At 37.7% G+C, this 20603-nt stretch overlaps 1 protein-coding gene across 54 annotated transcripts in view; it reads left to right on the forward strand.

Moving 5' to 3' along the window:
- Nucleotides 1-20603, forward strand: part of ERC1 (ELKS/RAB6-interacting/CAST family member 1) — a 505975-nt gene that overhangs the window by 179654 nt on the left and 305718 nt on the right. For all 54 annotated transcript variants that reach the window (NR_027948.3, NR_027946.3, NR_027949.3 and 51 more), the window contains 4 exons: nt 10928-11065; nt 12313-12453; nt 13669-13809; nt 20247-20440. Coding sequence is in view for 50 of the 54 variants with exons in the window: in XM_047428566.1 (XP_047284522.1) it covers nt 10928-11065; nt 12313-12453; nt 13669-13809; nt 20247-20440 (614 nt within the window). In the remaining 4 variants the exon portion in view is untranslated. The remainder of the gene's footprint in view (nt 1-10927; nt 11066-12312; nt 12454-13668; nt 13810-20246; nt 20441-20603) is intronic.

Here is a 20603-nt window from a genome sequence, read left to right on the forward strand (position 1 = left end):
CAGGGTAGGATATGAGTGCAAGTCAGCATCTTTCAACCCATAAAAGTAGACCTGGCGAAAATAAAAATTCAATGAGATGAACTTGAATTTAAATTAAAAATAAGTGAAACATCTCATCATATTTCCTTCACACCTTATATTCAAGTAGTTTTTCAGAGTCTTGGTTTCTTTGAATTTATTTGTGTCTCTCAGTCTTTCTTTGAAGAAAGACTCCCCAAATCTCTGAAAGCTTGGTTTGTTTGGTTACACATTATGAACTTGTGAAAGGTGTGGGTTAAATAATACAGTTGCTTACATGCCCCAAAGAAACCCCTAGAGGTTTTCTATGTTGGCAGGTGAATATGATAAGAGAATCTCCTTTTGCTAAGATTTCTTGGACTGTATTTAGAAAATATTTGGTTTTGGCATTATCATTAAAATTGTAGATGTCCATTCTAAATATATGAAAAGTATGGAAAAGCTATAAAAAGAAAAAAATCTGTGTAAAAATAAACTTCTCCTCACTTGAAATTGGTATAATATTACACTTACTTTTTGGTGACCTGTCTTATTCATGTAATAGTGTATAATAAACAAGTTTTTGTATCCTTAATTCTCAAGAATATGAATTGTAATGGTATAATATTCTTTCCATCCAGTGGATAGACCATATTTAATTTGGCTAGCCTTTTATTGTTAAGTGTTTAATTATTCCCAATTTTTAAATTATTACAATACAATGGATTTTTTTAAAAAATTAAGCCTCTTGTGCCTGCTTTAGTTTTTAAAAAAATATTGGATCTCTCATCACTAAAATGTAGTGAACTGAGACTAGGCTACCTAGACAGCCACTGTAACTGAACAACTTCAAGGGAAGCCATTCACATCGATGATGTGAATTGAGGGCCTCAGTGAAATCTCATCATTGCTACTGCCACAGAAGGATTGCCGTTGTGGATTTATGTGCCCTCTTTGTCTTTTGAGCAATTTTAGCACAGGGAGGTCTGTCAATTTTTTATATATGCTGACTAGATAGAAAAAGAAGGGTTTGAGCTATTTTCCATAATTATCTACCAGGCAGATCTTGACTGGCAGTGACCTTTGGTCTTACCAGCTTTTGTGTCATTGTATCCAGTTGTTCTAATGCGAGAGGCCCCTAGTTCCATGATCTGTACCATGAGCAAATCTGTCAAGGAACTTTCTTTCCTACCAGCAATTAATAAAATCTACCTGGAGCAGTGGACTCTGAAAATATATTTTCTTAAGGGCTATACCATTCCTGTATAATTAAATTTGAACAGTTTTAAAGATAAAATATAGTAGTATTCTGGTGAAGTTTATTACTTTTTAAATGTTCTCATCTTCCTTAGAAGAATATTGTTATATTTTATAATTGAAAGAGATGTTACTAGTCTTTTGTTTTACAGTTAAAGTGATGAGAAAGATTAAGCAATTTGCTCAATGCCACGTAACTAGTCATTCATTGCAATAATTCACTCCATGATCTGTACTATGAGAGAACAACACAACTGACAGGGAAACCCAACCAAGGAAGTGTTACTTGCTACCCGACATCTTTGCTGGGCTTATTGAGGACCATAAGCAGTAATTGAGAATACTGATATGAAAACTTTTAAAAACCCAAATTGAATTTAAAACATTGCTTAGAGTTTCTTATGGTTTTGTCAGTCTTGCAGCTTCTCATCGCTGGAAACAAGTGGAGAAGCAAAATTTAGATGTCAGCAATAGTCTGGGCAAAACATTCTTTTTTTTTTTTTTTTTTTTTTTGGTAAATTATAGTTTTGCCTTGTTTGTACATTTTGTCCGAGTGTCTGATGGTGGACAAACTGTTGACCAGAAATCAGGGGACTTAGAACCTGAAAAGGAAAAATTCACTATTAATTACTATAGATCCCTCTTTGCCAACTGATTATGACCAGTTCATCCAGACTGTATTTCTGCCATCAATACTGAAAGGTATTATTAACCAAGAAAGTAAAGGTCAGAGCCTTTTTGAATAACTGATTTCATACAATAAATTTGATGCTGATGGCTATTTAAAAGAGCTGTGGAGGCACCCTCAAAAATGTTCCTTTCCCTTAAATGATATTTAAAGTGAGCCAGGGGACTGCAAGAAGTGTTTTGAGCTGTCTTGTCCTCAGAACTGTGTCCTAGAGGAAGTCTCTTCTGCGTTTGCCCAGTGATTTGGGCCTCAAAGGCAGAGTAATCAGTTCCACTTGACTGGAAATAAATCACCCAGACTGAAACATGATAGCTCCTGACAACTGGGCAGGGCTGATAAAAGCCAAAACAAAAGATGTCAATAAATCTGTGCCAATGTGGAATTAGTATGCAGATTTGATGAATTCACTCTGTAGCTTTGCAGTCAGCATTAGACTTCCTCTGATTTTATCAGTTTTTCTTTCTTGTTGAAATAAAAATTGTATGAGGACAAGAAAGCCTCTATATAAAATAACCATTTTATTTCTGTTTCTTTCCACCCTAGTAAACAGAACTGTACCATGATTACAGAGGTCATTTTAAGGAATAACGTCGTCTTTCTCCAAACAGTTAATTTAAAAATGTTTCTTCCTTGGGCTGGGTACAGTGACTCACATCTGTAATCCCAATGCTTTGAGAGGCCAAGGTGGGAGGATCACTTGAGGCCAGGAGTTTGAGACCAGCCTGGGCAATGTTGCAGTACTTCATCTCTACAAAAATTAAAAATCGGCTGGGTGTGGTGGCATGCATTTGTAGTCTCAGCTACTCCGGAGGCTGAGGCTGGAGGATTACTCGTGCTCAGGAGTTCAAGGATGCAGTGAGCAGTGATTACACTGTCACACTTCAGCCTTGGTGACAGAGCAAGACCCTGTCTCAAAAACAGAACAAACAAATATGTATTTCTTGAGTTTACTACTCAATAATGATAATTATATATGATAGTAAACTGTATATATAAACCTGTTGGGTATCACCCCCCTTCTATTATCATTGACGGCACAGATGTGTAGAATAAATGCCAGTTCCTTTGATCACTACAAAATTTTGCTTGTACAGAAATTGAATATATGCTAATAGGTAGTGATTTCTTTCTATGTCAGGGAGAGTTTATACAAAAAAAAAACCCATGGGATTATAAAATGTATCCTTTTCTGTAACAATTATTTTATTAATTTTCAATTTTAAAACTAATTTATGTAACAGAAGAAAAACCTTTTAAATGTTTTATTGTCAGGTCCTCCTTGGTCCGTCTGTCTGTAAATAAACTAGCTTCCTTTAACCTTGAAAGTTAGGCTAAACAGATTATTTGAATAACGTCGTGGTCCTGAAATCCTTAACGTCAAGCATCTTTGGCTCTGCCCAGCAGCTTTAGTGTATGGTGATTAGATGTATGTTTCATCCATGAAGGATGTACTTTTCCATTTGCAGTGGTTTGGTACCTCATTCTTTGGGGGTTCGTTTTATTCTTTGCTTCAGTAGGGGGTACATTTTAAGTACATGATCGTAGCAATGGTATACTATATTAATAAACACTATAATCATAAGAAATCATTTATGGAAAGATGCTTTATGTGATTACTTTTTCAGTTTTTCACCATAGAACATATTATTTATAGGGTGGTAATTAAGAGTAGATTCTGGAGCTACACTACCTAGTGATTTTCCCATAGGCCTGTAGTGATGCTTAAATCATTGTTCCATATAAAGTCCTTGCATCAGTACCTGGCATGTTTTTAAGTGTTGGCTGCTTCTGTAATCTACCTCCCCACCACCACTGTTAGAATCGTCGTTCTTGTTATTTTATTTTAGGGGTTCTGTGGTTTATAGTCCTAAACAATGGAGAGTTTTTAAAAACTGGATATTCCGAGCATATTTAAAAGGGTATTTTTCTGCTAAACGTGATTCTGAACAATCATTTTTATCTTTATGTTCTAGTATGTGCATAATGGATCCAGTTTTTCTCTTGGCTGTTCAAAGCTTCTTATAAATCTTATATTTCAGATCCTATGGGTACTTGAATTAGTATAGAATAGACTCTCTGCTGAATATTTTATAAAAATGGCATAATACATACTGAAATAATATGATATGGGACTATCAGAGTAAACAGCATTTATAACCTCAACATTAGCTTGGTGAAAAAGAAGAGAATAATGACAAGAATAATGTGGTAACATTCATTCTTCAGCTGGTCAGTGACACATATAAACTGAGGTCCTTGATCACAACGAAAGTGAGGATATGTCATGGGAGCCTTCAGTGGGGCTCAGCTGTTACCCATCATGATGCTGAATTCAGTGAGTGAGGGCTCAGCTGTTATCCATCGTGATGCTGCAGTCAGTGGGGCTCAGCTGTTACCCATCATGATGCTGGATTCAGTGGGACTCACCTGTTATCCATTGTGATGCTGCATTCAGTGGGGCTCAGCTGTTACCCATCATGATGCTGGATTCAGTGGGGGCTCAGCTGTTATCCATTGTGATGCTGCATTCAGTGGGGCTCAGCTGTTAGCCATCATGATGCTGGATAAACGGAAAGAGAAGTATTTTTATGGGCACACATTTCACCCGACACACCCACCTCCCACCCCCTGCGTGTTTCGGGTTTGTTCAGTGCTTACACAGCTGGTTTGCACCTATCTGTGTCTATTTCAGGTCTTCCTCACTGATGGCAGCTTGCCCAGAGGAGGTAATCTTAGTGTCCACTGTTCTTTTTTTATTTTGTGAGATCCTTTCACTATGAAATGTTTGTTTCTCCTCTTTTAGAAGTAAATAAGAGTCTGAGAATAGCCATCCCTTTTCACTCCGACTCAACAGTCAGTCTCTCTAGAGTGGGTAATTGAAAAAGAAAGTAACTTGCCAAGAACTTGCTGACGGCATTTTACCTGTTTCAGCAGCTTCTGCACCTGAGTATATCAGCAGAAGTGTTTACTAGCAAAGAATAATGGATTCCTTTAATAGTTTAACTACATATCAGGTATAAAAGTGAAATTGTTAACATTTTAATTCCTGAATTTCTCCCTAGATGCAGATGATGGAGTAGAAAGAAGGGTATTATCCTTATTATGCATGTAAGGGGTGTTTGTATATTAGGTAGGCTCATAAAACAAATCTGTCTTCTTGTATGTAAAACTTGGTTGGTTCTGTGAAATTTCATTTTAAATAATGTTTCTTGTATTGCCCTTTCTTGACAGGAAAGTCTAATCAACAGCATGACCATAGCTTTTCTTTGTATAAGACCTATATGTTAGCAACTGGAATGACCTGCACAGCTGGTTAAACATGTAAACACCAAGGCATTGTGTTCTGTATATACAGGTATACCTCGGAGATATTGCAGATTCAGTTCCAGACCACCACAGTAAAACGAGTCACACAAATTTTTTGGCTTCCCAGAGCATATAAAAAGTTATGTTTATACTATATTGTAGTTTATTAAGTATGCAATAGCATTATATCTAAAAATGTACATAATTTAATTTAAAAATACTTTATTGCAAAATATGCTAATGATTTTCTGAGCCTTCAGCAACTCGTAATATTCTTGCTAGTGGAGTGTCTTGCCTCTGTGTTGGTGGCTGCTGACTGATCAGGGTGGTAGTTGCTGAAGGTTGGGGTGGCTGTGGCAGTTTCTTAAAGTAAGACATCAGTGAAGTTTGCTGCATCAATTGACTCGTCGTTTCAAAAAAGATTTCTCTGAATCCTGCAGTGCTATTTGATAGCATTTTACCCACAGTAGAATTTCTTTCAAAATTAGAGTCAATCCTCTCAACCCGTGGCACTGCTTCATCAACTAAGTTTATTAATATTCTACATATTTTGTTGTCATTTCAGCAATGTTCACATCATCTTCACCAAGAGTAGATTCTGTCTCAAAAAAAAAAAGCAACAACAAAAAACACTCTTATTACTCATTCAGAAGAAGCAGCTCCACATCTGTTCAATTTTTTTTTTTTTTTGAGACGGAGTTTTGCTATTGTTGCCCGGGCTGGAGTGCAATGGCGTGATCTTGGTTCACTGCAACCTCTGCCTCCTGGGTTCAAGTGATTCTTCTGCCTGAGCCTCCCGAGTAGCTGGGGTTACAGGTGCCCACCACCACGCCTGGCTAACTTTTTGTATTTTCAGTAGAGACAGCGTTTCTCCATGTTGGCCAGGCTGGTCTTGAACTCCTGACCTCAAGTGATCTGCCTGCCTCGGCCTCCCAAAGTGCTGCGATTACAGGTGTGAGCCACTGCGCCTGGCCCATCTGTTCAGATTTTATCATGAAGTTGCAGCAGTTCAGTCACAGCGTCAGGCTCCACTTCTAATTCTGTTTCTCTTGCTATTTCCACATCTTTAGTGACTACTTCTGCTGAAGTCTTGAGCCTGTCAAAGTTATCCGTGAGGATTGGAATCAACTTCTCCCAATCTCCTGTTAATGTTGATATTTTGACCTCCTATTGTGAATCACAAATGTTTTTAATGACATCAGGAATGGTGAATCCTTTCCAAAAAGTTTTCAATTTACTTTGCCCAGATCCATCAGAGGAATCACCAACTATGGCCTTACAAGATGTATTTCTTAACTAGTAAGACTAGAAATCAAAATGACTCCTTGATCCATGAGGTGCAGAATGGATGTTATATTAGCAGGCATAAGAAAAACATGAATCTCCTTGTACCTCTCTATCAGAGCTCTAGGGTGACCAGATGCATTGTCAGTGAGCAGTAATATTTTGAAAGGAATCTTTTTTTCTGAGCAGTAGGTCTCCACAGTGGGTTTAATACACCAAGTACACCATGTTGTAAACAGATGGGCTGTGATAGAGGCTTCATTGTTCCATTTATAAAGCATAGGCAGAGTAGATTTACCATAATTCCACAGGCCCTAGGATTTTCAGAATGATAAATGAACACTGGCCTCAACTTTCAGTCACCAGCTGCATTATCCCCTAACAAGAGAGTCATCCTCTTCTTTGAAGCTTTGTTTTCTTTGTTTTTTTTTTCTTTTCTTTTTTTTTCCTTTTTGAGACAGAGTCTCGCTTCGTTGCCCAGGCTGGAGTGCAGTGACATGAACTTGGCTCACTGCAACCTCTGCCTTTTGGGTTCAAGCAGTTCTCCCATCTCAGCCTCGTGAATAACTGGGATTACAGGCATGGACCACCACACCTGGCTAATGTTTGAAGCTTTGAAGCCAGACATTGACTTATCCTCTCTAGCTATGAAAGTACTAGATGGCATCTTTTGCCAATAAAAGGCTGTTTCATCTATTAGGTTGGTGTAGAAGTAACTTCAATGGCAAAACTGCCATTACTTTTGCACCAACCAAATACATTGAAAATTCATTGTTTGTTGTAGCCATCTTCATTGATTGTCTTAGCTAGACCTGGATAACATGCTGCAGCTTCTCCGTCAGCACTTGCTGCTTTACTTTACACTTTTATATTATGGAGACGGCTTCTTTCCTTAAACCTCATGACCAACCTCTGCTAGCTTGAAACTTTTCTCCTTTAGCTTCTTCACCTCTCTCAATCTTCATTGAAATGAAGAGAGTTAGGGCCTTGTTCTGGATTAGGCTTTGGCTTGAGGCATGCTGTGGCTGGTTTGATCCTGTATCCAAACCAGCAAACTTTTTCCATATCAGCAATAAGGTTGATTTCTTTTTTGTGTGTTCATCGGAGTGGCACTTTTGATTTCCTTCAGTAACTTGACTGTTTGGTTCCAGAGGCCTAGCTTTCAGCCTGTCTTGGCTTTTGACATGCCTTCCTCACTAAGCTTAATCTTTTTTACTTTTCAAACTCTGCATGTAGCATTTGACTTAATCATTTCTAAATTTTGACTAAAAGTGAGAGATGTGCAACTTTTCCTTCTCCCTGACTATTTAGAGGCCATTGTTGGGTTATGAATTGGCCTAATTTCAATGTAGTTGTGTTTCAAGGAATAGGAAGGCTGACACAGAGGGAGAGAGAAGAGGGAATGATTGATCAGTGGAACAGTCAGAACACATGCAACATTTCTTAAGTTCACCATCTCATACGGGCAGAGTTCATGGCACCCCAGATAAATTACAATAGTATCATCAGAGATCACTGATCACGGATCACTGTAACTGATACAATAATAGTGAAAAAGAAATGTTGCAGGAATTACCAAAATGTGACAGAGACACCAAGTTAGAAAGCTCTTGGAAAGTAGTGCCGATAGACTTGCTCGACGCAGGGTTCCCACAAACCTTCAGTTAGTAAAAAACCCGTATCTGTGAAGAGCAATAAAGCAAAGCGTAAGAAATCCAGGTATACCCGTATATGGAGTACTGAATTTTTGAGTGGCAAAATTCTCTTTACTGGTTATGAGTTGACCTAAGTGTTGATCCGTATGAGATTTCAATAGTAGTGTCTGATTAAATCAAGGGAAGACTAATGCTTTCCATCTCGGATGAACTCAGTTCTTACAATAGGCTTTGGTCTCTTACTGGGCAATTCAGTGGTTCACCCATACGATTATCTCTTTGTTAACAAGTGAAAATGTAAGCTTCAGCATATTCACATACCCTATTCTAAACTTACCAAATCTCTTTCTTAGCTTTTTTGTTCTGCCTGTCGAGTTCTTCTTGACTCTAGAGAGGTACCTTAAAGAGCTTGTACTAAATTTATTAATGTAAGAAACTACCTGACAATTGGATCCAGGATTGTTTTGTAATTCCGTTATTGGCAGGAGTTTTTGTGAATCCCTGAATATAGTTTATGGAAGTCCAAACTTATATTTTATTCATTTATTGATTAATGTTTACTATGATCTGAGATGTACTGTATAGGAAGGTACAAAACAGCTGGAGGGGCAGGATCCATGTCTACTTGAGACATGTATAAAACAAAGATTACATATGGTTTCATACACTAATCAGTGCTATAATGATTGATAGATAGAGGAATGGAGATATGTGATCAATATATAGATACATGGAAGAATGGAGGAGTGTGTATTTATACATAATATATACATGTATATGTATCATTACTGGGGTACAGACAATGATCAGGTTTTTCTCTTGGGGGTGAGGGCAACAGACTGTTCCTAGAGGAGATAATGTTTATCTTGCATTTTGAAAACCACGTAGAAAAATCAGGTAGTTCTAGTATCAGCTCAAGAGGAGATGGTGATTATATTCTCCTGCTTCATTTCTCTCCATAGAACTTATCTCTGCCCTACACTATGTTGATTCATTCATTTGTTCAGTCACTCATTCCCTCCCTCCATCATTCATTTGTCTACCTTACTAGAATGTAAGCTCCATGAAGGCAGGGATTTGGTCTGTTTTCATTACTCTGTTTCCTCAGCAACTGGAAAAGTGCCTGATCTATGGTGGGAATTTGAACTCCTGTGTATATAGTGAATGAATAAACTTTGTGAGTAGTTGGTTTATTTATAATTTTCCTTTAGCTTATTAAGGATAGCTCCTTAGAATTTCCTCATAGTTTGCTTGATTTTTTAATTATACTTGAATAATAATTTTTATTGTACTTGAGTCTCCTTGTACTTGAGTGATAACATGCCGCTTGCTGTACTTGAGTGATAACATGCTATTTCCACAGTGTTATCTCATAGTATGTTGAGTCCCCATCATCTTACCTGAACTGATACAAACTCTAATGGTTTTCCATGTCTATATGCGAGTCCTCTTAAGTTTTCATTGAAAGATCAGATCCTTGCATGCTGACACTGCCAACACTGGTACTGTTATTTATTTAAAGTACAGAACTGGCCAGACCACTTCTGTGCTTAAAAATCTCTAAGGGCTTCCATCTCTCTATAATAAAATCTGTGCTCCTTAGGTTGGCACACAAACTGTTTTATAGCTTGGCTTCAGCTGTATAATGATGCATTTTCTTACCATCTCATGGTAGAATAAAAATGAGTCTATTCATTTTTCTTTTTTTTTTTTTTTTTTTTTTTTTGAGACGGAGTCTCGCTCTGTCGCCCAGGCTGGAGTGCAGTGGCGGGATCTCGGCTCACTGCAGGCTCCGCCTCCCGGGTTCACGCCATTCTCCTGCCTCAGCCTCCCAAGTAGCTGGGACTACAGGCGCCCGCCACTACGCCCGGCTAATTTTTTGTATTTTTAGTAGAGACGGGGTTTCACCGTTTTAGCTGGGATGGTCTTGATCTCCTGACCTCGTGATCTGCCCGCCTCGGCCTCCCAAAGTGCTGGGATTACAGGCGTGAGCCACCGCGCCCGGCCTCATTTTTCTTCATATCCATAGTGTCTGGCATGTAATACAGAATTCAACAAACGTTTTTTGAGTAAATGAATGCATGTAAGTGTATATGAATGAATGGCCACAAAAATGTTTGCTGCTTAGATAAAAGATGATATAAGTAAATGAATGCATATAAGTATGTATGAATGAATGGCTAAGAAAATGTTTGCTGCTTAGATAAAAGATGGTGTAAAACTAACCTAACACTAGCCTTTAAGAACACAGTCTTTTCTTTATATAGCTGATTTGTCTTTTTCACTGTTTAGCTGCTCTATCCTCTGTCCTCCCTTTATTCTTTGTGAAGAAATCCCTCTTGGCATTTACAATGTCATTTTAGAAGTAATCCTAGTCCTCATGGCTTTCCTCTCTACATGGCCATCTCTATACTGGATCTTTTCTGCTAGCTACTTTTCTTATTTTGTTAGGGATGTGTGTGTGTGTGTGTGTGTGTGTGTGTGCGCGCACGCGTGTGCGCGCGCGCATACACATGTGTACTTTTTTTTGTTTTGCCTACAAGTTCCTACAAATTTAATTTGCCTACAAATTTAAGGTTTTGCATGTAATTCTGAAACTCTTAGGATTAAATGATTTCTACAGAATGCACACACACAGACAACCCTGAGCTATCTGTTTTCAAATTGAAATGATTTTGATTGTGCTATTGTTTTTTTATACATGTCCTCTCTTTTCCCTTAAATATTTATGTACATTTAGATTGAAAATCTTCAAGAGCAGCTTAGAGACAAGGAAAAGCAGATGAGCAGCTTGAAAGAACGGGTCAAATCCTTGCAGGCTGACACCACCAACACTGACACTGCCTTGACAACTTTGGAGGAGGCCCTTGCAGAGAAAGTGAGTGGCTGGCCCCAACTCTCCACACACGTTTTCTGCTTTCTCATTAATCTAAGACTGGATATAGAATACAAAAGAAATCCCTGTGGGCACAAGGGAAAAGAGCTGCTGTGTGCTATTGCTGACATACGTAGTGTGAAGGGAAACATTTTTTTTAGATGGAGTCTCACTCTGTGCCCAGGCTGGAGTGCAGTGGCGTGATCTTGTCTCACTAAATTCCACCTCCCAGGTTCAAGCGATTCTCCTGCCTCAGCCTCCCGAGTAGCTGAGATTACAAGCATGAGCCACCATGCCCAAGTAATTTTTTGTATTTTTTGTAGAGACGGGGTTTTGCCATGTTGGCCAGACTGGTTTTGAACTCCTGACCTCAAGTGATCCACCCACCTCGGCCTCCCAAAGTGTTGGGATTACAGGCATGAGCCCCTGCACCTGGCCAAATTGCTCTGATTTTCAAACTTCTTGAGTATCTGTTGACAGAAAGTTTTGATGATTTCTCTTTTCTTTACCTTCCTTTATATTTTAAGCTCAATATATCAAAATCTTTCCCATTCCCCCCTTTTTTGGTGTGTGAGTTGTGAGTTGTTTCCATTGCCTTGTGGGCAACATGTGAATAATATATAGAGAAGAAATATTTGTTAGTTATTGTCCTTAGGGTGTATATATAAGCTTTTAGTTACCTGGAAATTGAATAAATGGAAATATTGCAAAAGAATACTTTAGTGATATCAAATACTAGTTGAGATTATAAGAAAAGAAACCTTGGGATTCAAATGAATAAACCTACATCCTTGTTATGGCAAGATGAATAAGAAGGATGAATTATTTAAAAAATGTATTCTGGCCAGGCACAATGACTCACACCTGTAGTCTTAGCACTTTGGGAGGCCGAGGCGGGTGGATCATCTGAGGTCAGGAGTTCAAGACCAGCCTGACCAACGTGGAGAAACCCTGTCTCTACTAAAAATACAAAATTAGCCAGGCGTGGTGGCATGCTACTTGGGAGGCTGAGGCAGGAGAATCGCTTGAACCCGAGAGGCAGAGGTTATGGTGAGCCGAGATCACGCCATTACACTCGAGCCTAGGCAACAAGAGCGAAACTCTGTCTCAAAAAAAAAAAAAAAGTGGATTCTTTAAAAACTTACCATTGTCTTTTGAATATAGAAGTTTGAAATTCTGCTAAAAGCAGAATTACAGTCATATAAGTGCAAAAGGGAATTTCTTCACATGTTGATATATTCTCTCATCAGGAGCGGACAATTGAACGCTTAAAGGAGCAGAGGGACAGAGATGAGCGAGAGAAGCAAGAGGAAATTGATAACTACAAAAAAGATCTTAAAGACTTGAAGGAAAAAGTCAGCCTGTTGCAAGGCGACCTTTCAGAGAAAGAGGTTAAGCTCCCCAAAATGGAATTAGTTTGTTTGCTTAATCATTGCATGTGTCTGTATGTTGGTGTTTACATAATGCATATAAAAAAGTATTCGATGGAAAATTTTCTTAATATTCTTTTAGCAGGCTTTTGTTGAATACCTTAAGGAATATTTCAGAAAGCTTTGCAGAGACATAGCGGATTGGTTCATTCATTTTCTAAGTATTACTCACTTTGTTTTATGTTGGTTTTTTACTTACTAATATTTTTATAGACCTAAAGTAACTGAAGCTCAGATACATTTGGAGAAATAGTGTGCTAAAGATAAGAAAGTTGACAGATAAAAGGAATATGCAAAAGGAGGAAATTTTATGTATAGCAACTATCAAAGAACACAACAGCTATTAAATTAGGTGACTTAATATACTTTGGTCTTGTTTTTGGAGAATCCTGTTAATATGACCTAAATAGCAAAGATGCCTCATGCTATGTAATCAGATGATGATAATGCATGAGCTTTAGCATCTTTCTGTGGATTTTCTTTCTAATATCTTTAGGCAATGTTATGGAAGTTTAAATTCCTAATAGAATTTTTCTTTTAATAGGGAAAAATGTGATTTTTTTTTTTTCTTTTAAGAGACTGTGTCTCACTCTGTTGCCCAGGCTGGAGTGCAGTGGCATTATCATAGCTCACTGCAGTCTTGAACTCCTGGGCCCAAGGGATCTTCCTATTTCAGTCTTCCATGTAGCTAGGACTATACGTGTGCACTACCATGCCCAGCTAAGTTAAAAAAATTTTTTTTTGTGAAGACAGGGTCTTGCTATGTTGCCCAGGCTGGTCTTGAACTCCTGGCCTCAAGTGATCCCCCTGTCTCAGCCTCCCAAAATGCTGGGTTTACAGGTATCTGGCCGAAAAATGTTTTCTGTTTAAGTTAACGTAGCTACTGAGGTTTGACTACTTACATTCACAAAGCTTGATCTACTTTGGTTTATTTTGTATTGACAGAACTCTTTACATCACTGTTCAATGGGTATTTCTTGAGAATCCATCTTATTTGTTAAGAGTTGAAAGCTAGAGCTAATATTGTTTTATATTTCATGAATGAGTTTCCTTGTAATGGGAGTATGTCAGCATTTGGTAATAGAAAGGAAATTACAGCTACCATGATAAATTTAAAAATTTAAACCTCTATTTTTTTTAAAATTATTTATTCTAGATGTGTGTTCCTTCTTTTAGGCTTCACTTTTGGATCTGAAAGAGCATGCTTCTTCTCTGGCATCCTCAGGACTGAAAAAGGACTCACGGCTTAAGACACTAGAGATTGCTTTGGAGCAGAAGAAGGAGGAGTGTCTGAAAATGGAATCACAATTGAAAAAGGTTAAAGAAAAAATTTCACATTTTTTTGCTTTGCCTTAAATAAGAACATAGTAGATAACCTTAGCATGTTTATATGGAATAATTTACCAATGGAATAATAATCCGCCAAACTTTAAAATACCATGTATATCTGAATTAATTATCTTAGCATTCTTATCCTACTTTATTTTATTCAAGATAATCCCCAAATCTTTAAAAATTGACAGTTCAGAGAAAGATTAAAATATGCAACTCTCTTGTGGGTAAAATATGAGACCAGAGTGTAAAAATCTCTGTTACCTGATATTTTTCTCCCATTAGAATCAGACTTCTGCCAGGTGTGGTAACTCATGCCTGTAATTCCAGCTCCTTGGGAGGTTGAGGTGGGAGGATTACTTGATCAGGAGTTGGACACCAGCCTGTGCCACAGAGTGAGACCCCATCTCTTAAAAAAAGAAAAAACGGTGGCTCATGCCTGTAATCCCAGCACTTTGGGAGGCCGAGGCGGGCAGATGACGAGGTCAGGAGTTCGAGACCAGCTTGACCAACATGGCGAAACCCCATCTCTACTAAAAACACAAAAAAATTAGCCAGGCTTGGTGGCGCAGGCCTGTAATCCTAGCTACTCAGGAGGCTGAGGCAGGAGAATCACTTGAACCCAGGAGGCAGAGGTTGCATTGAGCCAAGATCGTGCCACTGCACTCCAGCCTGGGCGACAGAGCAAGACTCCATCTCACAAAAAAAAAAAAAAAGAAAAAAAAAAGAATAAGTGGGAGCATATTTTCTAATTTAACATATGTAGTAAGGTCTGAGACTCAGAATAATTGTTAAATATCCTGTTTCAGATTTTATCTCATTTTGGAGAATGTTAATTTCCTAGCTTTTTTTTTAAAGACAGGGCACATATTGTCAGAAAGTTTTTTTTATTTGTTATATTTTTAATTTCTCTTAGCAACTTATTGGGCCTAGAATTTTATTATCTTCACCTTCTACATTAGGGTCTATTTTTTGGTTTATAGCTTATGTGTAGATTTACATGAAGGACTATTTGGCGTATTTTCTTCTTGGAAACTATTACTGTATTATTAGTGTTCTAATTTACATTTTTTCAAAAGCCTGTGCTTATCATTGAAATTTTAAAAGTAGATTTCTTCTCTGTTTTGTTTGGAGTAGGAAATGACTGGTCTTGAGGTAATGATAATTGGAGTCATTTTTGACCTATTTATAGCTTAAGAATGTATATCCTGTATCTGAATATTGGCATTCCATGTCTTCAGCATGAGATAATATCCTCAGAATTTATTGAGGAAAGGATTGAAACTCAACTTTTGAGATATCAGATTTTTTTGTCTTTTTTTCTTTGTTTTTTAGAGACAGGGTCTTGCTCTGTCGTCCAGGCTGGAGTGCAGTGGCGTAATCATAGTTTACTGTGACTTCAAACTTCTAGGTATAAGTGATCTTCCTGCCTCATCCTCTTGAAGAGCTGGGACTACAGACCCATGCCACAACACCTGGCTAAGTTAATTTTGAGACAGAGTCTCACTCTGTCGCCCAGGTTGGAGTGCAGTGGCACAACCTCGGCTCACTGCAACCTCCGCCTCCCGGTCTCAGGTGATTCTCCTGCCTCAGCCTCCAGAGTAGCTGGGTTTATAGGCGCATGCCGCTGTGCCCGGCTAATTTTTGTATTTTTAGTAGAGATGGGGTTTCACTATTTTGACCAGGCTGGTCTCAAACTCCTGACCTCATGATCCACCCGCCTCAGCCTCCCAAAGTGCTGGGATTACAGGCATGAGCCACCACACCTGGCCTTTTGTTTTTTTTTAAATAGAGGGGTCTTGCCATGTTGCCTAGGCTGGTCTCAAACCCCTGCCTCAAGAGATCCTTCTGCCATGGCCTCCCAAACTGCTGGGAGCAAGGCCACTATGCTCAGCCTTGAGTTATCAGAATTTTAAAAATGCTTAATGCTTTTTTTTTTCCCTTGTAGAGTGAAATATTTATTTCTATACTCTGATTTTTTTATTGAAGGTTTTTTTTTCACCATTTTTTTAAACCGTTAATTTTGTTTCCCTTGATTATCTTACTCTTAAAACCATTTTCTGTACTTTTCTTTCTTTCTTTTCTCCCTGATGCTTCTTACTGTCTTTGGCATCCTGGAATAGTGTGGAGCCACTCATCCAAGCCAGTGAGTGACCTAGCCAAGTGTTGCCAGAAAGTCCCAGTTGATAGTTTCTTTTCTGACTTTTGTGTGAATGACATTTTTATCACCCTATAGATAAATGAATATACTTAACCTTCTCACCTCTCCCTTCCCGAAATAGGAACTCTAGGTTGTTTTTTTTTTTTTTTAATTTATATTGAGGTGACTACAAAATAGAAAGGCTTCTCTAAGACCAAAATTTTTCCTGAGACTTTGGAAACTGTTTGCATTTCTGCTGCTTTTACCTTGTTTTGTTCCTAGTGAGTTAATTCATTCAGGACTGCTTCTCTTTGCTTTTATTTCCACCATGTTGTGGCTTTTAGCCACACCAGTTTAGGGTACAGTTTCGCTAACACATTAAAATATGTTTCTGCCAATAGAGTCTTTTGTAAAGGCCATGCTTAGTAACTGAATTTTGACAACTGATGAAACCTGAAACAAAAGAAATTGGTAGAGGACTTAATCTCGAAAGTACCTCTATTGCTTCCACAAAGCATTTAACAAAATTTACATAAATGTTTCTCTTTTGCTCAAAGTACTTTGAATCAGAGCTTTCCTAAGTATGTGTGTTTTCCCCTTTAATATTTTTTGAAACCATTTTAAGGGACTAAATATGTTTTGTTGCTTATTGAATAAGGAAAAAAACGTGTGTTAGTCTTTACTCTCTCATTAAATAGGTTATGTGGTGAAAATGTTGATTTCTATGGGAATATGATTATCTGCATGGTTTTGTAATCTTACGTGTTTTACTATGACATGTATGAAATACAAAGGAACAAAATCTTTGCCTCCAGTGTATGAGTACTGAGGTTTTAATAATGTTAAAGGTAGGTGTTTTTCAGTAGAACAAGGCCTGTGGATGGAGAGCTTAACCTTTAACTCAGTATTTTAAGGAGGATTATTCACTGTTACGTCAGCCTCTCTTGTCCAAAGGTGATATTTTATACAAATACTGTTATTTCACTAAAGTTTGCAGCTTTTGCTTCTGAATGTTCTTGACCTTTTCACATTCTAAAAGCAAGGTGTATGGAGTATCTGCATTTTTAAAGCATAGGTTAACGTATAGTTAGAACTTAATGGGTAAGAAAGGGGAGAAGAAAATGAAGGCATGAAATTAAACACCTTCATCCAGAAAATACCTTTCATATTGATACCATGATAAGTGACTATGGACAGAAGAAATGCTTACATCTTGAATTAAATGTCATATTCCACAATTTAGAAATCCATTTTATCTTCATTTATTTTTTTGTGACAGAGTCTCACTCTGTTGCCCAGGCTGGAGTGCAGTGGCACAATCTCGACTCACTGCAGCCTCTACCTCCCAGGTTCAAGCAATTCTTGTGCCACAGCCTCCCAAGTAGCTGGGATTACAGGTGTGCACCACCACCCCTGGCTAATTTTTGTACTCTTAGTGGAGATGGGGTTTTGCCATGTTGGCCAGGCTGGTCTTAAACTCCTTGCCTCAGGTGATCCACCCACCTCGGCCTCCCAAAGTGATGGGGTGACAGGCGTGAGCCAGTCACTGCACCTGGCTTAGAAATCCCTTTTAAAGGGATGTTTATAACACTGATTTGAAAAATATGCCTTTTTTTGAGTTTGTATTATAATTTATAAAGTTGTAAAGGTCTTTAAGGGGTTTAAAATTCTTGGAATTTTATTTTAAAGTACAAATTAACTCAGCAAGAATTTAGATGTAAACTACTCTGATACAGAATTTGTTGTCATAAGGGAAGGGAAGGTTTATAGTATCTTTGATTTTTTTTTTCCTAGCTTGATTTATTTTGTCTTTAAAGATTGTCATTTAGTATTCTTTTATTATCTTTATCATTATTATTTTATTTTTTTTTGTAGAGGCGAGGTCCCATTGTGTTTCCCTGGCAGGTCTTGAACTCCTGGGCTCAAGGAATTCTCCCAGCTTAGCCTCCCAAAGTGCTGGGATTAGAGACGTGAACCACTGCACCTGGCCTCATTTGATATTCTTAATAATATTCCAGCTACATTTAATCTTGCACTTATATTTAATTACTGATTAATTTCTCTTCTTCCCAATCATTTTTCTTTTCCTACCGTTTAGGCCTATGGGCTGTTTTAAATCAAATGGAAACTAGCACACTGCTTTTGCATATTCATTTTTTCTACAAATAATTGAGTTTTTACTCTGTCAGTTACCACACTGTGCACTGAGGATATATAGTGGTGGACAAGACAGACCTGTCCCTTGACTTATATAATTTATAGCCTCTATTAAGAAGATAGACACTTAAAAAGGTAATTGTAGTAAATCACATGGTGTGAGGGAAGCTTATATCAAGGAGAACTAACTTAGGTCAAGGTCATGGAGAACCTCCTAACAAAAGCGACACTTTCTAAGCTGAGACCTCAAAGTAAGGACTCACCAGCGTGTATGAAGGCCCAGAATGCTGATATGCAGTAGTTATATTTATATTTGTGGAGTTATAATAAATAATTTATAATAAATTATTAGAAATCAGAATTATCTCAGTGACGTTAAATGCCAGCTGGCCTTCACTTTTGTTTACACAATCATCTTTTGTGCCCCTACATCAAGCTGCCTCCTATTGCCTATTTCGTCACCTTCTTTCTTCGTAGATACTAAGAATTTTCTCAGTTACTTCTGCTTTTGTTTGCATCTTCAATCTCTTCGCCTTTGTTGTCCCCTCTCTTTATGTGTAATATGATCAGCTTTCTATTGAAATATCTCCTGATCTTGGTACTCCTTATGGTCTTCTTCCCTCTCTCCTTTTCTATTAGATATATTTATAGCCTTCTCCTGCCCATGAAGGATTGACTGCTACAGGAATTTCCCTCCTACAATTAACAACTCAAAAACTGGGAAACCACGTGAAACAACTGATTTTAGACATTGGACAACATTCAGTGCAGAACAGTGCTCTCATCTTACCTTCCAAACTTATATGATTTTTGTTTCTTAAAATATACTTCATATGTGTATCAAGGTTAAGGGTTAGGGAAGCCTATATTTAAGACATAAAAGATTTTTTTCTACACATGTGAAGCCTTAAACAAATGAACTTGGGAAAGGACTTATCTTAAAAGTATAGCTGTTACTTTCACCAAGCGTTTAATACAATTATATAAACATTTCTCATTTACTCAAGGTACTTTGCTTCAGAGCTTTCTGAAATATTTCCTAAGAATATATATTTTCTCCTTTAATATTTTTTCAAACCATTTTAAGGGACTAAATATATTCTGTTGTCTATTGAATAAGAAAAAATAAAACGTCTAAGCTTTTGTCTTCTCATTAAACACATTATACATACATGGCTTTAGAGATTCCAGAAGACAGCTAGGGACTTGAAAATTAGTTTTTAATTATTGAAACTGTTTTGTATTCCAAAATGCATTAACAATATTAGTTGACTTTTGTAGGATCCTGAATAAAAATTTTTTTCTCAGATCTTAGTGTGGTTCTTTCAAAAAAATTTTTCTTAAACAATTTTTTTTTCCAATAGAGATGGGGCCTTGCTGTGTTGCCCAGGCTGGTCTTCAACTTATGGCTGCAAGCAGTCCCCCTGCTTGGGCCTCCTATAGTGCTGGGATTACAGGCTCAAGCCACTGAGCCCATCCTTAAGTGTGGTTCTCGATTTCTGAATTCATTTGTTTGTCCCATATTATTTTGTAAATTCTCTAATCCTTGCATGAGGGAGGTACCTGTGTGATGGTAGCAGCTGTTTTCTTAACCTGACTCACATTTTTATGGCATCACACTCCCAGTATCTGTTTGATTCTAGATGCCCAAGGCCATGTGAGTCACACGTGTTAGGTAAAGCAGCATATAGGAAATGGAAATGGAAGTTAGGGTCTAGTGGGAGTTAGGTCTCTGCACTGGTCCGGCTATACGATCAGCAGTGAGTCCCTGGTGTTGCCTTTTGATATTCTCTTGGAGAGATCAATAACAACAGTTCAATGACTGTTAGTTTGTCTCACTAAACTCTGAAGCATCTTTTGCCTTATGATGGTGTTTGATTTAATAATATTCAGAGATGTGTTATTTAAAACAACTAATCTACTTGGAACCTAAGATAATTCTCCATTTATTACTAATATTTGTCTATATAATACTTAAGCAGATAAAAACCTTATAAATTACAAACTAACTGGTAGATATTTGATAATTCTGTACTTAAATTGGAATATAAATCATTGTTTGGGACATGGTTTGCCCATTGCCACCTGTGTGTATCTGATAGGATTGAAATGCTTTTCTTTGTAGGCACATGAGGCAGCATTGGAAGCCAGAGCCAGTCCAGAGATGAGTGACCGAATACAGCACTTGGAGAGAGAGATCACCAGGTACAAAGATGAATCTAGCAAGGCCCAGGCAGAAGTTGATCGACTCTTAGAAATCTTGAAGGAGGTGGAAAATGAGAAGAATGACAAAGATAAGAAGATAGCTGAGTTGGAAAGGTAAGAAAGTGAAGCTGATTGGGGCTTATGAGGTTAAAGTATGGTTTTAAAAGTATGCTTTTGGGGACATACTTTTTCAGTGTATCTAACTCTGAATTTAGGTTCTCGAATTCTTGCTATTACTGTATTAGCTGCCTTTTTTCTAGGTCAGTTGTACGTTCTT

This window comes from Homo sapiens, chromosome 12 (genome assembly GCF_000001405.40).
Source record: "Homo sapiens chromosome 12, GRCh38.p14 Primary Assembly".
Taxonomy (NCBI): Eukaryota; Metazoa; Chordata; class Mammalia; order Primates; family Hominidae; genus Homo; species Homo sapiens.